Source organism: Homo sapiens, chromosome 8 (assembly GCF_000001405.40).
Source record: "Homo sapiens chromosome 8, GRCh38.p14 Primary Assembly".
NCBI lineage: Eukaryota > Metazoa > Chordata > Mammalia > Primates > Hominidae > Homo > Homo sapiens.
In genome coordinates, this window is record NC_000008.11 from 112,396,045 (window position 1) to 112,418,850 (window position 22,806).

The 22,806-nt window shown below is 34.5% G+C and overlaps 1 protein-coding gene across 10 annotated transcripts in view; it reads right to left on the minus strand.

Moving 5' to 3' along the window:
- Window positions 1-22,806, minus strand: part of CSMD3 (CUB and Sushi multiple domains 3) — a 1,214,012-nt gene that overhangs the window by 173,117 nt on the left and 1,018,089 nt on the right. For 7 of the 10 annotated variants that reach the window (XM_017013010.2, NM_052900.3, XM_011516816.3 and 4 more), the window contains 3 exons: window positions 12,875-12,988; window positions 12,274-12,369; window positions 10,480-10,683 (listed from right to left, as the gene is read on the minus strand). In XM_017013010.2, coding sequence (XP_016868499.1) covers window positions 10,480-10,683; window positions 12,274-12,369; window positions 12,875-12,988 — 414 coding nt within the window. The remainder of the gene's footprint in view (window positions 1-10,479; window positions 10,684-12,273; window positions 12,370-12,874; window positions 12,989-22,806) is intronic. The other 3 variants (NM_001363185.1, XM_047421314.1, XM_017013009.3) reach the window with 1 other exon arrangement.

Genomic DNA, 22,806 nt, shown 5'->3' on the forward strand with positions numbered 1-22,806 from the left:
TCACATATCATGTCTTATGGGGCTGCTTTCCAATCAACAGTTTAGTTTTAGTATGTCAGTGTGTGCAAAATTAATGAACATTTTCTTGTGCTTTACTGTGACAGAAAAAAAAACAGTGTTGACAGTAATAATAAGAACTGTGAAACTGAAATGATACAATTGAGAGGGAAATCATTAGGAATGTAGAAAGCAGTATTGTTTTGCTTTCAATTGGATGCTGACTTGGCTTAAGTTATTAACTGAGCATTCATTGAACTAAGACAGAAAAACAATCATCATGTATAAAACCCTGTAAATAGGCTGTCAAAGATTATATCTAAACTGTAAAGGGTAAATGGAGAATTTGCTCTCTCTCAGAATAAAACTCCCCATATAATATGTAAATCTTTTGCTTGTGTTTTACCAACATACATATCTTTCCTGCAGATGTCAGAAGAGTTTGAAACCTCAGATTTGTGAAGGTTTAAGCAAGGAAACTATGCAAGAGTATCACCATGTGGTGGAATACTGAAATGGAAAAAGTATGGACCTTGGACTTGGGAAGTTGGTAAGGGTTGTCAGACCCTCTACAAATATTCAGGAAATTGATACAGTAATTTACTAAAATCCACTCACTGAATAAAAGTTTGCTGAACACCTGTTGTGTGCCAAGTCCTCTTTTGATTGAGCCCAAAACCAATATAGTGACAATGGAAAGAGGGACAATTAAGACAGATTAAGAAATGTTTTACAACCAAAAATTATACATAATACAGTTCGATGGTTGCTGTAAAGGTAATGGTATAAAGAGTAAACGGTTGATGGGTGGCAGAAAATTATTTTAGATAGGATGGCCAAGAAAAATAGGAGACTTCAATGAAATGATGTAGTGAGATAAAAAGCTATCTGTTCTAATCAGAGGAAATAAGAAATTCAAAGACCTTGGGGCAGATGTTTTATGCAGTTAACAGAGGTTGAAAAGGAGCACAAATTAAAGAGAACACTTTGATATTAACGTAAGATAGCTCTGTACTTGACTCTCACATTTGAATATTTAAGACACTGAGCTTTTTCTATCTTAAAAATATTTTAAGACATGACCATTTTTATTCAGAACATTTTGAAGCTAAAAATATTTATAGTTAAAAATAGAAATGCAAACTATATTTTCATTTATGTAAAGATTAGTAGTTGCACCAAATGGTAAAACTTAAACTTGTCTATCTTCTGAATGTCATTTAGAATCATCACCTTTCTATTTCTTCTGTCACATAGACCCCATATATCCATCTGTCATATTGTCAACTTTATGGATTTACACCTGTTCCACAAGGAAGAATATTTTTAAAACGGTATAAGGTAATATGTCTTTTTCATGTGATCTTGGCAGAAAATACAAGTCATATGACACAATTTTCTATCTCTGGATATGCACTTTTAAACTGCCTCATTCTATTCAGGCCATAGCAAAATACCATAGAATGGGTGGCTTATAAACAACAGAAATTTATTTCTCACAGTTCTGGAAGCTGGGAAGTCAGCACTGGTAGATTTGATGTCTGCTGAGGGCCCCTTTCCTGGATTATATACGACCGTCTTCTGGCTGTGTCCTCACATGGTAAAACTGGCTAGAGATCTCTCTGGGGTCTCTTTCATAAGAGCATTAATCCCATTCATGAGAGCTCTGCCCTCATAACTACCTTCCAATCCCTGCCCCCAATACTATCATCTTATGGGTTAGGATTCTAACATATGAATTTGGGGGATTCAAACATTCAGACTACAGCATTCTGCTGCTGGCCCCCAAAATTAATGTCCTCACATGCAAAATACATTCATTCCATCCCTATAGCCCCACAAGTTATAATTTGTTCCAGCATCAACCATAAGTCTAATGTTCAAAGTCTCATCTAAATATCATGTCAATCACATATGGGTGACACTTTAAGATATGATTCATCCTGAGGCAAACTCACCTCCGGCTATGAGTCTGTAAAATCAAACAAACTATCTACTTTCAAAACACAATGATGAGACAGGCACGGGACAGATATTTCCATTCTTAAAAAAGAAAAACAGGGCAGAAGAAAGGGGTAACAGATCTTAAGCAGGACCAAAACCTTAAAATTCAAGAAGAATCTCTTTGATTCAATGCTCTGTTCTTCAGTCCCACTGGGCCTATGGTCTCACCTCCTAGACTCACAGGTTGGAGGTCTCCACCCAGACACGCTGCAGGGAAGGTCCCACATTCTGGACCTACTGGAGGTTATAGTCTTACTTCTGTAGGTTTGCTGGGCATAATACATACTACAGCTCTCACAGGTTAGAGTTGCATGCCTGTGGTTCTCCCTGACTAACATCACACACCAGTGGCTCTACTGTTTCATGATCATATTGGTGGCCCCACCTCTGTAGCTCCACTGGACATTTTTCCACAAGGCAATGCTAAAGGTGTGGGGCTATCCACATGACCCCTATGGCAGTTCTTTGCCTGGGCAGAGAGGCTTTCCAGGACACCCTTTGAAATCTACACAAAGGCAACCACATCTCCATAGCTTTATTGGGTACCGAGCATGGTGAGCCAGACCCACAGGAACTATCCCTATGTAGCCAAGCAGCTGTGTGACAGACTGCATGAATCAGAGCCTGAGGTTTAAGGCCCTTCCTTTGAAATCTGACTCCAAGGCCCTTGCACTATGGGCTTGTGACTGGATGGGTAGCCTGGATGATCTCTAAAATGCACTCAGGTTCATTCTTCCTTTGTTTTGGACAATAGGTCCTGGCTTCTGTTTAGATGGCTAACTAATGCTCTCATTGTATTGATGAATAGCTTCTAGCTTCTACTGAGATTGTGAGTTCATACTAATCTTCTTATCAAACGTTACTTGATTAAACTCTTTTTTTTTTTTTTAAGACAGAATCTCGCTCTGTTGCCTGGGCTGGAGTGCAGTGGTACGATCTCGGCTCACTGCAACCTCTGCCTCCCAGGTTCAATCAATTCTCCTGCCTCAGCCTCCTGAGTAGCTGGAATTACAGGCATGTGCCACCACGCCCAGCTAATTTTTGTATTTTTAGTAGAGACCAGGTTTCACCACGCTGGCCAGGGCTGGTCTCAAATTCTTGACTTCACGTGATCCACCCGCCTCGGCTAAACTCTTAAAGTTCTCTTTTGAATAGGTCTTCCCATTTTCCCAATACAGGTAGGTTGAAAGTTTTTAAAATATAGAAGTTTTGATTCCAAATTTTTTTTTTTTTTAGACAGAGTCTTGCTCTGTCAGCCAGGCTGGAGTGCAATGGTGTATTCTTGGCTCACTGCAACCTCTGCCTCCTGGGTTCAAGCGATTCTCCTGCTTCGGCCTCCAGAGTAGTTAAGACTATAGGTGTGTGCCACCACACCCAGTTAATTTTTGTATTTTTAGTAGAGACAGATTTCCCATTGGCCAGACTGGCTTCGAACTCCTGACCTTGTGATCTGCTCAGCTCGGCCTCCCAAAGTACTGGGATTACAGTTGTGAGCCACTGTGCCTGGTCCCGATTTCCAATCAATTAACAATTCCATGTTTAAATCATTGGCAGTCAAGAGAAGCCAAGCTGAACCATTAACACTTTGCTTAGATATTTTCTCAGCCAAATATTCAATTTCATTGTTTAAAGTTTTACCTTCTAGAAAACTCCAGAACATGAACACAATCAGCCACTTTTGTTATAAAGTGGCATAATCTTTGCCACATTATAACAAGAATATTCTTTCCTCTATTGTTCAACAACTTGTTCCTCATTTCCATCTAAGGATTCATCAGAATTACCTTTACTATCCACATTTCTACTAATATTCTGTTCATAACCACTTAGATATTTTAGTAAAAAGATGTTGCCTTTCTCTAGAGCTTTCCTCCTTTTCTTCTGAGCCCTCATCAGAATTTCCCGTTACAGTTCTTTCACAACAATGTAGGCTTTTTCTAGCATGCACCTCAAACTCTTCCAGCCTACACCTGTTACCCAGTTCCAAAGCTGCTGCCACGTATTTAGGTTTTTGTTACAGTAGCACCCCACTCCTGGTACCAATTTTCCATCTTAGTCTGTTCAGGCTACTATAACAAAAAAACATAGACTAGGTGGCTTATAAACAATAGAAATGTATTTCTTATAGTTGTAAAGGCTGGGAAATCAAAGTTTTCTAAAGCATTGGCAGATTCAGTATCTGATGAGGGCCCTTTTCTTGGTTCATAGACAGCTATTTTCTTGCTGTGTCCTCACATGGTAGAACAGGTGAAAATATCCCTGGTGTTGCTTTTATGAGGACACTAATCCCATTGGTCATCTCCTAATGGCCCCACCTCCCAATACAATCACCTTAGGGGTTAGAATTTTTACATAAAAAATTGGGGAAAACAAATATTTAAACCATAGCAAGAATCAATGCAAAATCAAAAGTAGTCTGTTCTTTATCTAAAGACTCCTGATGGATGCAGTGTAAGGATTCTCAAAAAGCCCAGGAAATACAGACTGCTGGATCTCTGACAGAGAGATGGTGTGGGTTCCTGGGTACCCACATCTTTTGCCCTAAAAGTAGGAAGTGAGTTCTGGCTGAATCTAGGTTGAGAACAGTAAACTAGCATTCACTCCTGAAGTGGAATATCAGTAATAGACTAGGTAACAGCCTAAAGCCTTTCATAGGCTTTAGTTCCTGGTGTTAGCTACTGTACTTGCTAAGATAAATCCTTAGTTGGATAGCATCACCTTACTCTTTTTATATAGATTTTTATTTTTGATGGCTAAAATGCTGGGATTAATCAATTGATACATTTGAAATACAAAAACACTTTGCAATAATCATGTAGAATAGGGGCCCTCTTCAGTTTCAGACACAAATGGTTAATGGTTTAAAATTTATAGTCTTGGGCCAGGCCCGGTGGCTCACACCTGTAATCCCAGTACTTTGGGAGGCCGAGGCAGATAGATCACCTAAGGTCAGCAGTTCAAGACCAGCCTAGCCAATAAGGTGAAACCCTGTCTCCAGTAAAAATACAAAAAAATTAGCCAGGCATGGTAGTGCATGCCTGTAATCCTAGCTGCTTGGGAGGCTGAGGTGGGAGGATTGTTTGAACTCAGGAGGCAGAGGTTGCAGGAGATCGCACCACTGCACTCTAGCCTGGGTGACAGTGCAAGACTCCATTTCAAAAAGAATAAAAATAAAAACAAAATAAAATTTATAGTCTCATATTCTCTATTCTATGTTTCACAAATATTCTCTTCAAATGTTCACTTTCTTCACTCACTTCTCTTCGCTTGCTATTTTGCTATTTTTTTTTAATTTTTCCTTTTCTCTCTCTGTTTAATGTGACAGATCATTTCTCCCATCTATATCTTGCCTCTTTCTAACTCTGTCTCATCTGCATGTCTTCATGGATATAAGAATATTTATTTCTTTGGATAATGTGATGTTTAAATTTTTAGGGTAAGAAGAAAAGCAGAGCATAAACATTGGTTAAATATATACTTGCAAGGCCTATTAAAATTGTAGTAATAATTATTTTAACTTTGTTTTTATTTTATGTTAAAAAATTTGCCAACAATGAAAACAAACCAAAATGTCTATTTCTTTAAGTACACTCCTCAACCATTTGACCTGGAATGCATTAATTGGTGGAAATTTCACTGTCCTCCTAAATGGTATATTTTAATAAAGATTTACTAGTATTTTCAATAAAATCAACACATTTTTCCTAAACTTTCATATAAATTTTAAATGCAAATAGAAGTCAAACATTCAAGGAATCCTAAATTAGAGTTGGAAAGAATGACAGTACTCAATGCTTTCAGCCTTTTCCAAAATGCAAAAATCTTCTGTGGAAGGCACATTTTCCATATAATAACTTTAAATTGTTTTAAAAATAAAATGTCAACAAATTAAAATCAATAGTATCAAACACTTGATCAGTACTGCATATTAAGTCCTATATTCTGCATCGAATACTTTTAGAATTGGAATCTTCTCTCTTGATTTTGTGGTGGCTTATTTGACAAAAACAAAAACAACCTATTTTCTTTAGTGCTTATTAGGTTCCAAGAACTAAGCCAAGGCTTTTAGTCATTTAGCCATAATGAACCTATGAAGAAGTTTTCTTATTTTCTTGTTTTATTGGTATGGGATTTGAAGATCAGAGATTATGTAAATTTTCCAGGATCTTATTGTAACTCACTTCAATTCAGTCATGCGGACAAAGCGAAGACATTCACCCACGACTCTTGTGCTGATAATTTAGTACAATTCCCAGCTCTGATGATTTCACTCAATTTTACATAATTCTTTACAACCTTTCACGTTAATTAGCACATTAACATGATAGATATACAAACAGAACCTTTAAGGATTAATTCATACATTTACATTTCAGTTCTTGGCATATGTAGGTTCTTTGAACACTCTAACTAAAGGAATAAAAGGGTTTTTGATGATATTTAAAGATTAATGAACTAGTTTATGAATTTCCATGTCATTATATTACTCTGTTTTTACAGTAGATTATATGAAACTAAATGAAGAGAACTACTTATCTAAGTCCTTCTATTTTTACAGCATTGATATTTTCTGTCAATACCTACATAAATATATTAAAAGTGACACAGAAATTATGTAAATAATTACTGGGGAAAGTGAGGCAGAAATAATGATTCTTAGTAATTACAGAAAAAGATTTAAAAATCTACTGTGAGTTTTGAAGAGAGTTATTATTATGTGTCTGTCTTCAATTATTAAACTGATTTCAAGCAATGTAATTTCCAATTTATGCATATTGCATGACTAATTTTCACAGACATATAGAAACATTTCTTTTAGCTCATGATTCCTTTAGTTCAGAATGTTATAAATGTTATTTATAACATTTCATGAGTATGAAGTCAATGTATTGTGTTGTATGTATTGTGGTTCAGAAAAGAGGACATTATTTGTTTTGTCTTTATGAGAGTGCAAGTACCTAAGGGGAGGATCTCTCTGCCATATTAACCCCAGCTCTCTGGTAGGCACAAGATAGGCGGAACATTAAGTCCAGCTGATTTATCTCCTGTATTTGTGGACTGTCAAAAATGTATTTTAATAGAGTCAGCAATTCTGCACAATAAATGAGGCAGAAATGTAATTGGGAAATAGCTTATAAGTCAGAACATAAAGAGAAGCAGTAATCTATCAATTAATTTAGGGTTCAAAGGTAGAAAAACTTAGTTTTAAATCCTGCCTCCACTCTAACCCTTACTATGCTCTGCCACTTTAAAGAGAACTATTTTACCTCTTTCAGACTCAGTTTATTCATCTGTACATTCCAAAAGTAACAGTTCCATAGATTTGTCAGAGGATTGCAACAAATATGTATTTAAATTACTTAGCATGGAATCGGGCTCTTTTAGACAATTCAGGCTGCTATAACAAAATACCATAGATTAGGTAAGTTTTCAACAACAGAAATGTATTTCTTAGAGTTCTAAAGATTGGGAAGTCTAAGATCAAGGTGCCAGCAGATGTAGTGTTTGGTGAGGGCTTGCTCGGTGCTTCATAGACAGTGCCTCTGTGTCCTCACATGGTGGAAGGCTGAATATGCTTCCTCAGACTTCTTTTATAAAGGCACAAATCTCATTACTGAGGGTAGAGCCCCCGAGACCTAGTCACCTTCCAAAGGCCCCACTTCTTAATACCCCCACATGGGGGATTAGGTTTCAACATAAGAATCTGTGTGTGTTGTTGGGGGGCGGTGGGGTGAGGGAGAGAATAAATATTCAGACGATAGGATTGGCAAACAGTGGCATTAAGAAAATTATAAATATCAGAAATCAGAAATCGTGGTTATTTAGCTAAAAGATAAGAAAATTGGAGAGTCATTTACAGTCTTCTAGTGTTTTAAATTATTTTTTGTAAGTGTTCATTCAACAAATAACAGAATAATACAAGAATAGTTCAGATTCCATCTATTGTCACGGAAAAAATAAAATATTTGTTTTAAGAAAAAAATGCACTGTGAAATATGCTAGGTATATTTTTGGGGTTGGGGTGGGAGTGGCGATATCAAATTCCTAGAGAAATCAAATGACCAACCATCCTTCCTAGTTATTTGTGAGAGCCTAGTTTATACCATTATCCTAGCACAATTGTTGACAATGTCCTGATTTAAATGGTAAAAAAAATATATTTTACTTAAAGCAAATATATTCTATAAAAATTACATAACCTGGCTGGGTGCGGTGGCTCGCACCTATAATCCCAGCACTTTGGGAGGCCGAGGCGGGTGGATCACGATGTCAGGAGTTCAAGACCAGCCTGACCAACATGGTGAAACCCCGTCTCTACTAAAAGATAGAAAAAATTAGCCGAGCATGGTGGTGGGTGCCTGTAATCCCAGATACTTGGGAGGCTGAGGCAGGAGAATCACTTGAACCTGGGAGGCAAGGTTGAGTGAGCCAAGATCATGCCATTGCACTCCAGCCTGAGTGACAGGGTGAGACTCCATAAAAAAAAAAAAAATTACATATCCTGTGAATGCATATCAACAGATTTATCTTTGATCTCTTCTCAGTAGAAATGAATGTACCTTCTATGTTATTTCATAATTTAAAATTATTTTTTATTCTAATGACCTATGAACTGACATGTGAACAAATGTATTTTAAAAAGGTAAAAATAAGAATGGCAAATATAATTTATTTTCATATGGCAAAATGTGTTATTAAAAAGTAATTTTATATATTTATGATTGTCTATTATGTGTCAATATACACACTCATTCCTCCCTATGGAGAGTGGACTATTAAGATTATTAAAATTAAAACAAAAATAAAACAAAAATTTTGCTTATCTTTTATTTTAAAAAGTATTATTTTCAGCTGGGTGCGGTAGATCACACCTGTAATCCCAGCATTCTGGGAGGCCGAGGGGGGTGGATTACTTGAGGCTAGGAGTTTGATACCAGCCTAGACAACATGGTGAGACCTGGTCCCTTTTGTATTTTGTAAAAATACAAAAATTAGCTGGGCATGGTAGTGCACGCCTGTAATCCCAGCTACTCTCTATGCTGAGGCAGGAGGCTTTAACCTGGGAGGCGGAAGTTGCAAGGGAGCTGTAATCATGCCACGGCCTTCCAGCCTGAGCGACACAGCAAGACTCTCTCTCAAAAAAAAAAAAAAAAAAAAAAAAAACCCCCATATATATATATATATATATATATATATATATACATATATATATACACATATCTTATTTTTAACATCACATACTAATATAACTTTAATGAGAAACAACTCAAGTCATTAGAATTATTTTATAACCTGAGATTAAGTCTTACCACTCTTTTTTGAATTTAATATTATGTAATTTAAAAAATAATAAAAATTCCCAGATATGTTCTTCGGGCAGAAAAGAGAGTAATTTCCCTACTTTCTATATTTTCTATGTCTATGGAACTCTACAAAAGCCAAGCGTCATTATAATTACCCTGAAATACTATAAAATTCTAAACTATTAAGATATCCATAATTTTAGATAGTATACATTCTATTTACCAATGCAAGTTAGATATACTATTGCAAAAACAACTTCGAAACAATAAGATTTTTGGCTAACCTTATGCATTTTACTCATTCAAAATGTTACCACCAATATTTGTGAAAGACTGAAAAAATTTATAATTTTATATTTTTATACATATCTGTAACTAATAGAGTAAGAAAAAATTAATTCATATTTTCTAATTCTTTTGATGACCAAGCAAAATATTTCCAGAAAAGTCAGCTTTTGGATTCTTAAAAGATCTCTGAATTCTTTACATATTGGCCCAGAAATCTTTGCACAAACTTTTAAAAATAAAAAATAATATTTATTTCAAAGGATGACTACCAGAGTCTGAGAACTGTAGTGGACAAAAACACAGAGTGTATAAGATCTGCCATTTGATAGCACAACAGTGTGACTACAGTCAATAACAACTTAACTGTACATTTGGAAATAACTTAAAGAGTATAATTGGATTGTCGCAACACAATGAATAAAAACTAGAGGAGATGGATATCCCATTCTTCATAATGTGCTTATTTCACATTGCCTGCTTGTAAAAAAAATCTCATGTACTCCATTAATATATACACCTACTGTGTACCCACAACAATTAAAAAAATAAAATAAAAGGATAGTAGTCCTTCATAATCCCACATTAGTAGCAGCAGATTCTATGTTCCTGGAAATATATATATTTACTTACATCCACATAAATCCATATAAATCAGTAAATGAGGAAATTATTTAGCTAATTCAACACAAATTTTTTTATTGATTTCATCACCAAGACAATTGCAACAAATCTCCACTGATTTTTCATATTTATATAAAGCATACTTATTAAATTATTTAAAATTAAGTACATAATTATTAGATCTGAAATTTAAAAAATTGAAAGATGTAACCAATTTTTATATAAACTATGTATAATCACAGATCATACAAATTTATATACTCACCAATACAAGTAGGTAAGGAATCATTCCACTGGGCCAAAGAATTGGGCACTGTTTCACACCTAATTGCTATGGATCCATGGAGAATATATCCTGGATTACAATCAAAAAGAACCGATGAACCGACTGCAAATTCATTGCCAATTCTTCTTCCGAATCTTGGTTCAGGCACAGAACTGCATTGTGTAGAACTTGTTCTAGGAACAGCTGTGTAGAAATATTATATTTATTTTAATTTTATATGGTAGACAAATACAGATTTCAAAATGTAACTGTTTAAACACATTTTTGAGAAATCATCACTTTTTATCAGAACTTGAATTAACAATTTGAATACATTCTTAAAGTTTTAAATTTCAGACAGAATAAAATATAATTTAAAATAAATATTGTTATTGTCATCAAGGTTTTTTATTAGAAAAGTTTTACTTTTGATTCTTTAAACATCAACGATTTTTGTTTTACCGAACTCATTAATATTACAAAATAGTTTTAGTTAGATATTTTTGTAATTTGTGGGATGAAAACTGAAAGTTTTTTTTCTTTTTAAACTTAGAATACCAAGTTCAAAAAATATGTGTCAGGTTATATCAAATAATTTTACATTTTTTTCAGTATTTGGTTCTTAATTAAAAACAGATTTTATAAAGGCAAACAGTACTTTATTAGTTTCATAAAATTTCACAAACTTAATTTCAAACACATTTGCTATTGAGAAAGATAACTACATTTGGACTAGGTAGAATATATGTCAGACAGATTAACAACAATAAAAGTTTTTACTTTAATAATCATACAATATCAGATTTGAAATTGCTTTTAGATTTTATAGGTATGCCCTTTAATTGTGCCTTTTTTTTGGTTTAGTAAAATAGAATGATAACAGGATGTTTTTTCTTTTTAAAACACATAACAAATGTGATTAAAGAGATTGACAATAGCCCAAAAAATGATATGATGAATTCTAAATAGATTAATTCTTCTTATGCGACTTGAGTAAATATAATTCCATTCATTATAGTGCCTTTTTGCAGTCGTAATACCACACATTGTTTCCAGGGGGAAGTACTACTTAACATAAAAGAGTACAGGATTATAGTCAACTGATAAATGGGGTAAGAAGGTTTAATAGGAATAACAAATCACAAATGTTTATACATTTCTTAGTAATAAAGTGCAAGATACATTTGAGATTAACTACTATATGACCATATATATTTCAAAGACAATATTTCAAATAATGGCTCTTAACTTGGTTTAATGATAACGTAGAAGGTTGTCTACCACAGGCAAGAAATAAAATGTGTAAACAAACTTCTAATTGCACAAAAGTCCTAATAACTGAAGAAAGTTTTAATTCTCCTGAGAGAATGAGAAACTATAATTTTAGAATGGAACACTGATTTCCTTGGCATGTTTAAGTACATCAGCACCAAAATTTTTATATCTTTAATTTCGAGTGCTAAACTAAATTAGACTAAATAGTCTAGAGTGCTAGACTGTTAGAAAATAGAAAATGTAGATAGTAAAGGATTGTCAGGAAAAAAAAGTAGATGTTTTGAAAATAATATGTGGGAAGGAAGGAAAATCAGACATTTAAACTGAGAATGATGATGGAAGCAATAGATTTTGTTTACTTTGGTCAAGGTGACAGTGATCTAGTGATGGTGGAGGGGACAAAATAAAACTGCTTAAAAACACTTTTATCTAGAGGATTTCATCATTCAAAAACTCTGAATACATCATGGGAAAATTATATCATTCCTTAGTGTGTTTCTAGACTACAGGGTCACTTACCTTGGTAAACAAAGTGAAATCCCTTAGCTGTTATTGGTCCAACTGAAGTAAATCGAATTGTGATCTGATTACCTGAACTCAGTGGAAGTGATTCTCCTACTCAACAAAACAAACACTAAGATATCATAAATAATTTTCATTCAGTAAACCTAACAAATTATATTATAATCTTACACTGTCATTTGAAAATGTCAATCTATGTTCTATCAAATTACTTTAAAATATCCTACAACTACCAATATATTTCCTTTGGGTTCAACTTGTATTGCAATCTTTTTCTCAGAAAGCTTTAATTACATTTTTATACATATTGCCTCATTCTTCAAAGAATTCTTAAATATTTTATATTACATTAAACACCAGAGACTAAGTGATTAAATATATTATTTACTTGGTTACAATCCCAGAGAATAGTTGGTTGTATTTTTCTCAACCTTCTGAGTTAATTTTGTTTCTATTCTTTAGAAAAAAAAAAGGTGACACTATTTTCAGTTTGCTTTATTTCTTATATTGATGATATAAATCTCAACTTTCACTACAATACTAATCAAAGTCAGTCTTTAATCAGTAACTGATGCATGGCAGTTCTATTAAAGGATACCTGAATGGGATCCTGAGAGGGAAGATAACAGAGAAGATTGCTGAGTTGGCCCATCATACACCTCAACAACATCGTGGAGTGATGTCTGGAAAAATACAAACTGGCCAAACACCACTGATCAACAGGAACCCGGAGAAGCAAACAAATCACCAACCATCCAAAAACGAAAACAAAAAACAAAAAAATAGAAAGAGGAGGAGAGAGAGAACAAAGTATTACAATATAATAGTCATTTTTTTTCTACCTAAAAGAGGATAGGTGCCAATTGGTTGATATTACTGACACATGTACTTCAGGTCATAAAAGAAGTGACCATGACCTAAAGCAATAAAATATTAAGACAACAATTCTTAAAAATATAAATGAGCATAGCATTTAATTTGGATCAGAAATCATAAAATTGATGATTAATACTTTATAGTAACTACTTTTGGCTTTTCTCAATGGTGGTTTGATTCTTTTCACTTTGTGACTCTCTTCTCTTTTTCTAATTTTTTACCTCCTCCTTTAGATAAGATAGACACAGTTTTAATTCAGGGGATTTTTTAAGTTGTCCTTAAAAATGTTATTCCATTATGAGTAATAATTTCATTAGAAAAAGATTAGCGAGATTCTTTTCAGATATAGTGTTTAATTTATATTCTAAGTTTTAAATGATTCCTAAACATTTATTGTTAATCTTCTGCCAAAATAAAGAAATATTATTTATGATTCCTCAGCAATTGAGATATCATAAAATTTTGCAAAATAATTGCTCTTCCATGGTAAGTACAGTTCTGAAGTACATACCAACAGAGCTTTATAGATGTGTCTTTTTCCTCCATTTTTACTTATCCTTTAATTACATACTAAACTTACATGCAGAATTTACCCAAACTAAAACTATAAAGAACCTGTTTCAAGAACAGAAATCAGTTTGCTTTGTGTTTTTTTTTCTTAAATAAAATCAGTAACAAAACTTATCCTTAAAATATTTCATTGGTAAAATTGTGGGGTTTAAAAGAGTATAATTTTAATGAAAATTTAATAATGCCAAAGCAAGGTCACTTTTATAAATTTGAAATCACATGAATTTAAATTGTTCATTCCATGAGTATATACAAATATATTTTTCAAATGCTGATTCAAATTGTATACCTCAAATGAAGGCTATGGACATCCTCTGGTGGTCCTTTTACTAACAGGCTAATTCACTTGAAACATGGTTACTTTTGCATATGAATTCAGGTATACACATAATATGGCAAACAAAGCTATATGTAGTTTTTAGGCCTGTAAAAATAAGCTGGTGATCTCAGTCCAGTTCTTTGTGGAGTAAAAGAAAATGAAAATATTAACAGATACAGCGATGTTTCTTTGAACGTTTCTGAACATTGGCTGTGCTAAAATTTGTCAATAATCCTCCTTAAAATATTTCCTAGAAGTCATGAATACAAATTTATGTTTCCACCTAACCAGACACATGCCGTGAATTATTTTAATGGTTTACAAGTCATACAAACATTTTGAATTCAGACCTTTTTAAAAGATCCCAAATTTGTTCCACCAAATCCCAAGCTACTTCCAAAATACTCCAAATATATATATATATATATATATATGTATATTTGTTTTCTAATGGAAAGAAAGAGTTAAAGGATGCTGAATTGTACTATGTATATACATACATATGTATATATATATGTGTATATATATATGTATATATATGTGTATATATATGTATATATATATGTGTATATATATGTATATATATATGTGTATATATATATGTATATATATATGTGTATATATATATATGTATATATATAGGAAAGGTTTTGTTTTCTGTTTTTGCATTAGATTAGTGTTTGGATGATCCTGTTCTCAAATATGTCTTAAGAAGTTTCTATTATATAAAGCAGATTGCCATTGCCTTACAAAGTAGCCGGAAAAAAGAAAAAAAATGGTATTTTAGTCTAATCACGGGAATTTTGTTACATCAAGCACACTGCCCAAAAAGGCTCTTGGCATGTAATTTATTCTTTCTCTTAGCTTTTTGGGAAATCATTAAGGAAAAGTACAATACCGCATCCTTTAACTCTTTCTTTCTATTAGAAAACATGCCCAATTTCCTTGCAAACCACTATATTTACAAACATTTAAAACAACTAAAATACACAGGTATCCAAGAGCTTTTTCTGAGGAAAAAGAAAAAAAAATTCATCTTTTTTTTTTTTTTTTTGCCTTTAGGCCTCTTCTCAATTATTGTTTGTATGCAGATAAAACAGTTTTGCATTACCTCTAAACTGAATATGTTGAGACTATAACTGTTAATAATGCAGCCATTAACCCCACATTTTTGTATCATATTAAGTATAGAAAACTGTAGGGCATGCTCTTTTAAGTGTTAATAATTTGTGCTTGTAATTTGTTGTAGTTATTAACTCGGTTGGGAGAGTTGAGAAAGCTAGGAGTGGGGGAGTACAGTGCTGAATCTTGCCTTATTAAGCAATGAGCAAGCCACTTTTCTTTAAAAGCAATCAACTCTGCATTAATATGGGCAATTGAAATTTTAAATTAAAAGTAGCTTTCACCAGAAAAAAAGTTACTCTGAGAGGATATGGAATCACTATAGTAAAGACAAAATTTTAAAGTACATGCCTAGTAAGTTATTTTGTAGTATGAACAATGAAGAACACTAACATAGTGATCTGATTTCCCACACATTATCATATTAGCTATTGTCTCATTAAACTGATATATTATAATAATGAACCTAATACTCCCAGTCAGAAGTCTTAAGAACTAAGTGATGACTCTCAGATTTGCTTCTCCATTCTGTCTGTAAATGTCTTAATTTATTTAGTTTTTTAAGGTGCAAACAGCAGTAGGTCTTCTGATTCTAAAATGTTCTGAATAGCCAAAGGTATTTGCCTGGTTGAAAGTGATGCAAGGAAAATGTGTAAGAGATTTTAAAGTGGCTCAAAAGATTACTGGTTATTGTTTTTTTGAAAGAAAGTTGTCCAGCAAATTGGGTTACTTGTGTTAAATGGAGACTGTGGTATAATGCAATGGATTATTGCCCAGTGAACAGATTTATTTTGTCTCTATGCATCTATTTGTTTGTAAATTCATTTTAACATTCCTGATTATCTATCTTATCTACAGATCTATCTAATTTATCTATTAACCATCTATTATTTGGTTATTTGAATTCTCCTTTGAACCACTGTAACATCTTACTGGGTTTCTCATTATTTAACTGGGAGTTAAATAAAATTTTTGATTTAAATATCCTTTATATTTATATGAGAGTCATAATTATGCTCTTTTTAAAAATTACCTCTTAACACTGACCTGATGCTGGTGCCTCAATCCAATGGGTAGAACACCCTTTTATTTCTAGGACTACAATTAACCCCAAGTCTGTGCTGATTATGCCTTTTGCATGATTAACAAGCTCCGTGGTGGTCTGTTTCTTCATTTCCAAGCACATACAGAATTCCCTGCATCTCAGCTCCAAGCTTCTTTTCTGTTTTCTTAAGCATATAGATTTCAAAACGATTTTGCTCTCAAGATACAAGAGTAAGCTGTATACATCAAGCTATTTCTTAAGGGAAACACTACTCATTTTTTTTCTTCTTTAAACATAATAGATGTTAAAGAAAATGTTTTTATCTCTTTTGTTGAAAAAATCAATTTTTATAGTGGTATATATACTGTAGTAAGCTAGAAAAAGGAAACCAGTAAGATAAAAGCAAACATAAAAATTATCTAGTTTTTATGCCTGAAACTATATCTGAGCCTATTATATTTTCATACATTGTATTTTAGAATAGAGTTTATTAATTCCACCAGCATTAGTTGATTCTATGATGTGCCAGGAACTGGGTTAAATGCTAGGGTTAAGAAAGTGACCAGTACAGATAGGGTCCCTGCTCTTTAACTCTATTAATTATATTTCTGTTTATTGATGTGGCAGCTTTTCTTTATTCCACCCATGAAAAGATGTTAGGCTGGCCAATTAATTATAAACCAACAATAGGGAACTTTGGGTACATATTTCCATGAAGAGTATTGCTATACTGATCAATTAAATCCATTCTTCAAAGCAAAGCACCTACTAATCTCTAATGGCAACATTCGTGGAGTTCTCGACCACATTTTTAATAAATCTATAACTTAGATTTTAAAAAAATCACTTTAAAAGTCTGGAGAAATCACTTAGAGGAAAACTAATTTATATCACATTGCTATAACCTTTATCCCAATTTTAAAGTATTTTCCTAGTTCATTTTCTCCCCCATGAATAAATTCAGAATGAGACAAGGCAGTGTATCTATCTACTCTTTCTTGTAGACAAAGCAAGCTTTATTTGACATCTAATTTTTGAAGTATCCATCCAAATAAGATTGAGAGGTAGGGTTCCATTGACTGAGAAAGTTTGCATAACATAAATTTTCATTTAACTGTTTCAATAAGCATTTGTTTTCTATTCTCTATCAAACCCTGTCGAATCCTTTTTCCTTTGGTCACATTCATTTAATACCTGAGACTTCATCCAATTTGCTTAATTAAGCCATCCCAAATGTAAATCAATAAATGATGACAGTGTGTAAGATGGCATAAAGAAACTCTTGAGCATTAGCATAGATAACTGGCAGAATTCTCACTACAGACCAACAGTTACCCTGAAAGCATCACTGTGGAAACAGTATAGTGGGTGCCTGGAATATGTCATAATGCACTAAAATGGGTTAGTGCTCACAGGGGAGGGCCTTTGCTTAGAACATGAATAAATAGAACAACAAGAATTTAAAGCTCCCTTTTCCACTAAACTCTAATCTGCAATATGGTTGAAACGTTCTACCACTGCTAGCAGTCTCTCCTCGAACAATGTTTAATCAGGCTCTTCTGAATCCTCTTCCCAACTAGGCCCTGACTATTTTACTTCTGTGTCTGTCTTTGCATTGTCCAACTTTAACAAGAATCCTAATGAGCTGGTTTAGCCAAAACCCCCTTCCCTCAATGTCTGATTACCCTCTCACCTCCACCATCCCCCAGGTGATATCTGTTCACCCTGGTTTGCTTTCACCAACAGTACTGTTAGGGTGGTTTGGCCAGAATCCCCCTCATCCCTGATGTTTCCTCTTAATAATTTTCCATCTACTGACCTCCATCCTGCTTCTTGTCTATAAATTCCCACTTTTTCTTGCTATATTTGAAGTTGGCTCAATCTCTCTTCTCTACTGCGAAACCCATCAGAGTAGTTCATATGCCTATCTTGATACTTCTGAATAGTCTATTTGATACAGTTTGGCTTCATCTTCACCCAAATCTCATCTTGAATTGTAATCCCAATAATCCCTATGTCCCCCTGAGAGGTAATTGAATCATGGAGGTTGTTTTCCCTTTGTTGTTCTCATGATAGTGAATGAGTTCTCATGAAATATGATGGCTTTATAAGCATCTGGCATTCCCCCTGCTGGCTCACCCTGTGTCCTGCTGCCACATGAAGAAGGTGCCTGCTTCTCCCGTTGCCTTCTGCCATGATTGTAAATTTCCCGAGGCCTCCTCAGCAATGTAGAACTGTGAATCAATTAAACCTTTTTCCTTTATAAATTACCTAATCTTGGGTATTTCTTCATAGCAGTGTGAGAACAGGCTAATACAGTAAATTGGTACCAGGAGTGGGGTGCTGCTACAAAGATACCTGAAAATGTGGAAGCAACTTTGGAACTAGGTAAGAGGCAAAAGTTAGAAAGTTTTGAGGGCTCAGAAGACAGGGAGATGTGGGAAAGTTTGGAACTCCCTAAAGATTTGTTGAATGGCTTTGACCAAAATGCTGATAGTGATATGGACAACGAAGTCCAGACTGAGGTTTTCTCAGATGGAGATGAGAAACTTGTTGAGAACTAGAATAAAGGTGATTCTTTCTCTGCTTTAGTAAAGAGACTGGTGGCATTTTGCCCCTGTGCTAGAGATGTGTGGAACTTACTTTGAACTTGAGAGAGATGATTTAAGGTATCTGGCAGAAGACATTACTAAGCTGCAAAGCATTCAAGTGGAAGCAGAGCATAAAAGTTTGGAGAATTTGCAGCCTGACCATGTGATAGAAAATAAAAACCTATTTTCTGGGGAGAAATTCAAGCCAGCTGCAGAAATTTGCATAAGTAATGAGGAGCCAGATATTAATCCCCAGGACAATAGGGAAAATGTCTCCAGAGCATGTCAGAGACCTTCATGGAAGCCCCTCCCATCAAAGGCCCAAAGGCTTAGGAGGGAAAAATGGTTTCCTGGGCTGGCTCAGGGCTCCCCTGCTCTGTGCAGCCTCAGGACATGGTGCCCTGCACCCAGCTGCTTCGGCTCTAGCTGTGGCTAAAAGGAACCAAGGTACAGCTTGAGCCATTACTTCAAAGGGTGCAAGTCCCAAGCCTTGGCAGCTTTCACACGGTGTTGAGCCTGTGGGTGCACAGAAGTCAAGAACTGAGGTTTGGGAACCTCTACCTAGATTTCAGAAGATGTATGGAAATGTCTGGATGTCCAGGCAGAAGTTTGCTGCAGGGTGGAGCCATCATGAAGAACTTCTGCTAGGGCACTGTGGAAGGGAAATACGGGATCAGAGCTCCCACACAGAGTACCCACTGGGGCACTGCCTAGTGGAGCTATGAGAAGAGGGCCACCGTCCTCCAGATCCAGATGGTAGATTCACTGACAGCTTGTATCGTGCACCAGGAAAAGTCACAGATGCTCAATGCCAGTCTATGAAAGCAGCCAGGATGGGGGTTTTACCCTGCAATGCCACAGAGGTGGAGTTGCCCAAGGCTGACAGAGCCCACTTCTTGCATCAGCGTGACCTGGATGTGAGACATGAAGTCAAAGAAGATCATTTTGGAATTTTAAGGCTTAATGACTGCTCTATTGGATTTTGGACTTGTATGGGGCCTGTAGCCCTTTTGTTTTGGCCAATTTCTCTCATTTGGAACTGGTGTATTTGCCAAATGCCTGTACCCCCATTGTATCTAGGAGATAACTAACTTGCTTTTGCTTTTACAGGCTTATAGGTAGAAGGGACTTGCCTTGTTTCAGATGAGACTTTGAACTTGTACTTTTGGGTTAATGCTGGAATGAATGAAGACTTTGGAGAACTGTTGGAAAGGTATGATTGTGTTTTGAAATGTGAGGGCATGAGATTGGAAGGGACCATGGGCTGTGTCCTCATCCAAATCTCATCTTGAATTGTAGTTCCCATAATTTCCATGTGTACTGGGAAGGACCCAGTGAGAGGTAACTGAATCATGAGGGTGGTTTCCCCATAGCTGTTGTCATGATAGTGAGTGAGTTCTTATGAGATATGATGGTTTTATAAGTGTCTGGTATTTCCGCTTCTGGCTCTCACTTCATCCTGCCACCCTGTGAAGAAAGTGCCTGCTTCTCCTTTGCTTTCTACCATGATTGTAAGTTTCCTGAGGTTTCTCAAGCTATTCAGGACTGTGAATCAATAAAACCTCTTTCCTTTATAAATTACCCAGTCTTGGATATTTCTGCACAGTAGCATGAGAATGGACCAATACACTATTCTTCTATTGTTTAACAAGTACACGAATGATTTCTTTTTAAAACTGCCTAAGCAAACCAGAAACTTTTGGAAGTCACTTTTAATTTTTGAGCCATCAAAATAACTAGCTGTTACATTATATAGAGGTTCACTGATTTAGCAATTAATTAACTTGAAACGAGGATAATGAAACAAATATGGACATGATTACCATAATTCAATGATCAGGATTGGAGTTATTGAATTAAAAATGAAAATTGAATTTATGTAAATTAATATTTCAATTTGTTTGTCATTTTTTTCTCAGAGGGGAATAATTCTCTGAGTATCCTAATGGCATGACAGTGTCAGAAAAAAAAAACTGAGACTTAGACTGGGGCATGGTTAAGGGAAGAGATTCAAATCCTATGTAGAAGGTGATGGAGAGTTAAAATTAAAATACGTAAGAGGTTGTAGTGAATTCAGCTTTGGTTTAAACCTGTAAACCTGTTTTGATATAAAAGTCTTCAAATTTGGTGGAGTAAGGGCAGCAGGTCTCTCTGGAAGCAACTCTAGTAGTCAGAAGGATAGTGCCAAATTAATGAATGGTGACAATGACAGTGCCAATCAAAGCTTGCCAAATGACAAGCCCTCTTTGTTGCATAGAAGAATGGATGAAGCAACCTAAAGATTATCAGCACTTATAGCTGAGCAGATTTAGGAAGATTAATGTTTTCAAATGACCAACTTATGTGTCTGAAATGTCCTGTGATATTAAGGTATTTCATAAAATTGCTTAATAAAGAGTTAAGCATTCAATTTCTGGAATCAGACTCTCAAGGACTTAATCCAGGATTAACCACATGGGAAAGCCTCAGTTTCCTCATCTGTAAAATAGGGATAATAAAAGTACCTGACCTCCTAGGATTGATGTGAATAGCACATAAATTAATACTTGTAAAACATTTTAAACAGCACCTGAAGCAGTAATAAATGTTAGTCACCATTACTAGTAACTCAGCTTTGTAAATATATATGTTCCTAATTCAGTCAGAAAACTTACTGATAGGCAAAATTTAATTGAACTTTTATGTGAGCATATCCTCTTTCATTGTCTGCTTTCTATACATCAGTATTTAGTAAAAAAGATAGAACTGCCTGGGTGAGATGAGTACTCCAGCTATTTTAATCAAGCTTAGTTTGTCTTAAGACTTCAAGATGGCTATGCACTTCTCTGTCTACTTGATTTTACATTCTATCCTTTTGGATGAAAAAGGAAAATGTAATTATCAGCTTTCTTTTGGGGCTAAGAAAAGGGGAGCAAGGTGAGAGTGCATTCTACCTTTGTTTTTGTTTACTCCCTCAATCTTAATTCCTTCTGTTTCAACTTCATCACAAAAGAAATAGTTCCACATAGAAGGAAGTCGGTGCAGAAAAGGAAATTAGAAAATATCATAAATTCCTATTAGATCTATGTTTGATTCTCAACATGCTTACTACTCCTTTTGCAAAATCTACACATTGTTTTGTATTTCAGGGTTTATTTTGATGCCTATATTAGGAACTGAGCTGGTTTGCCACTTTGTTAAAAATTGTATCACCCCTGTTTTGCTCAATTTTCATTTTATTACCAACACAGCACAGATGAAAATGCACATGTGCATCCACAGTACTGACAGAACAGAAATAAAGAAGGATTCAAATCAAAGATGGGTAGAGTACTATATTTCACTATGTGTGAAATCATAAAAAATTACTGTTGGTAACACAAGCTCTTATAATGTTTGGCTACTTTTATGTGAATTTCTGACTCGTATTTTCTTTTTTATTATTATTATACTTTAAGTTTTAGGGTACATGTGCACAACGTGCAGGTTTGTTACATATGTATACATGTGTCGTATTTTCATCTCATATGAATATTTTAAGACAAAATATTAGACATTTTCATGAATGCAAAATGCTTCCCTTTTAAATCAGTAACATACACTGTGCAGAACTGTTTGCCCTCCATACTGTATACTCTGAACTGTGAAAGTACTTATTGTATAAATAGCTACAAATTTGCATTTTGGGATCATTATACCACTTGTATATCATGATTTTAAAGGCTTTATCATTTAAAGATTATTACAAGATGTGCAATTAAAACTTCAATTTTATGAAAAACAAATAAATAAAAGTGTAGTATTATGAAAATTTACTTTCAAAAGCATCAGAAAGCCAGAATCTTAAAAATCAGTACCAAATCAAATCAATGAGCTACTGTTTTTTAAAACTATCATCTAGCAATGGACAAGTTTAGATAGAAGTTACATTAATTGATTAATGAATTAAATATCCCTAATCCCAAAATCCCAAATCAAAAACGCCTCAAACTCCAAATATTTTTTGGTGCTGAAATGACTTCACAAGT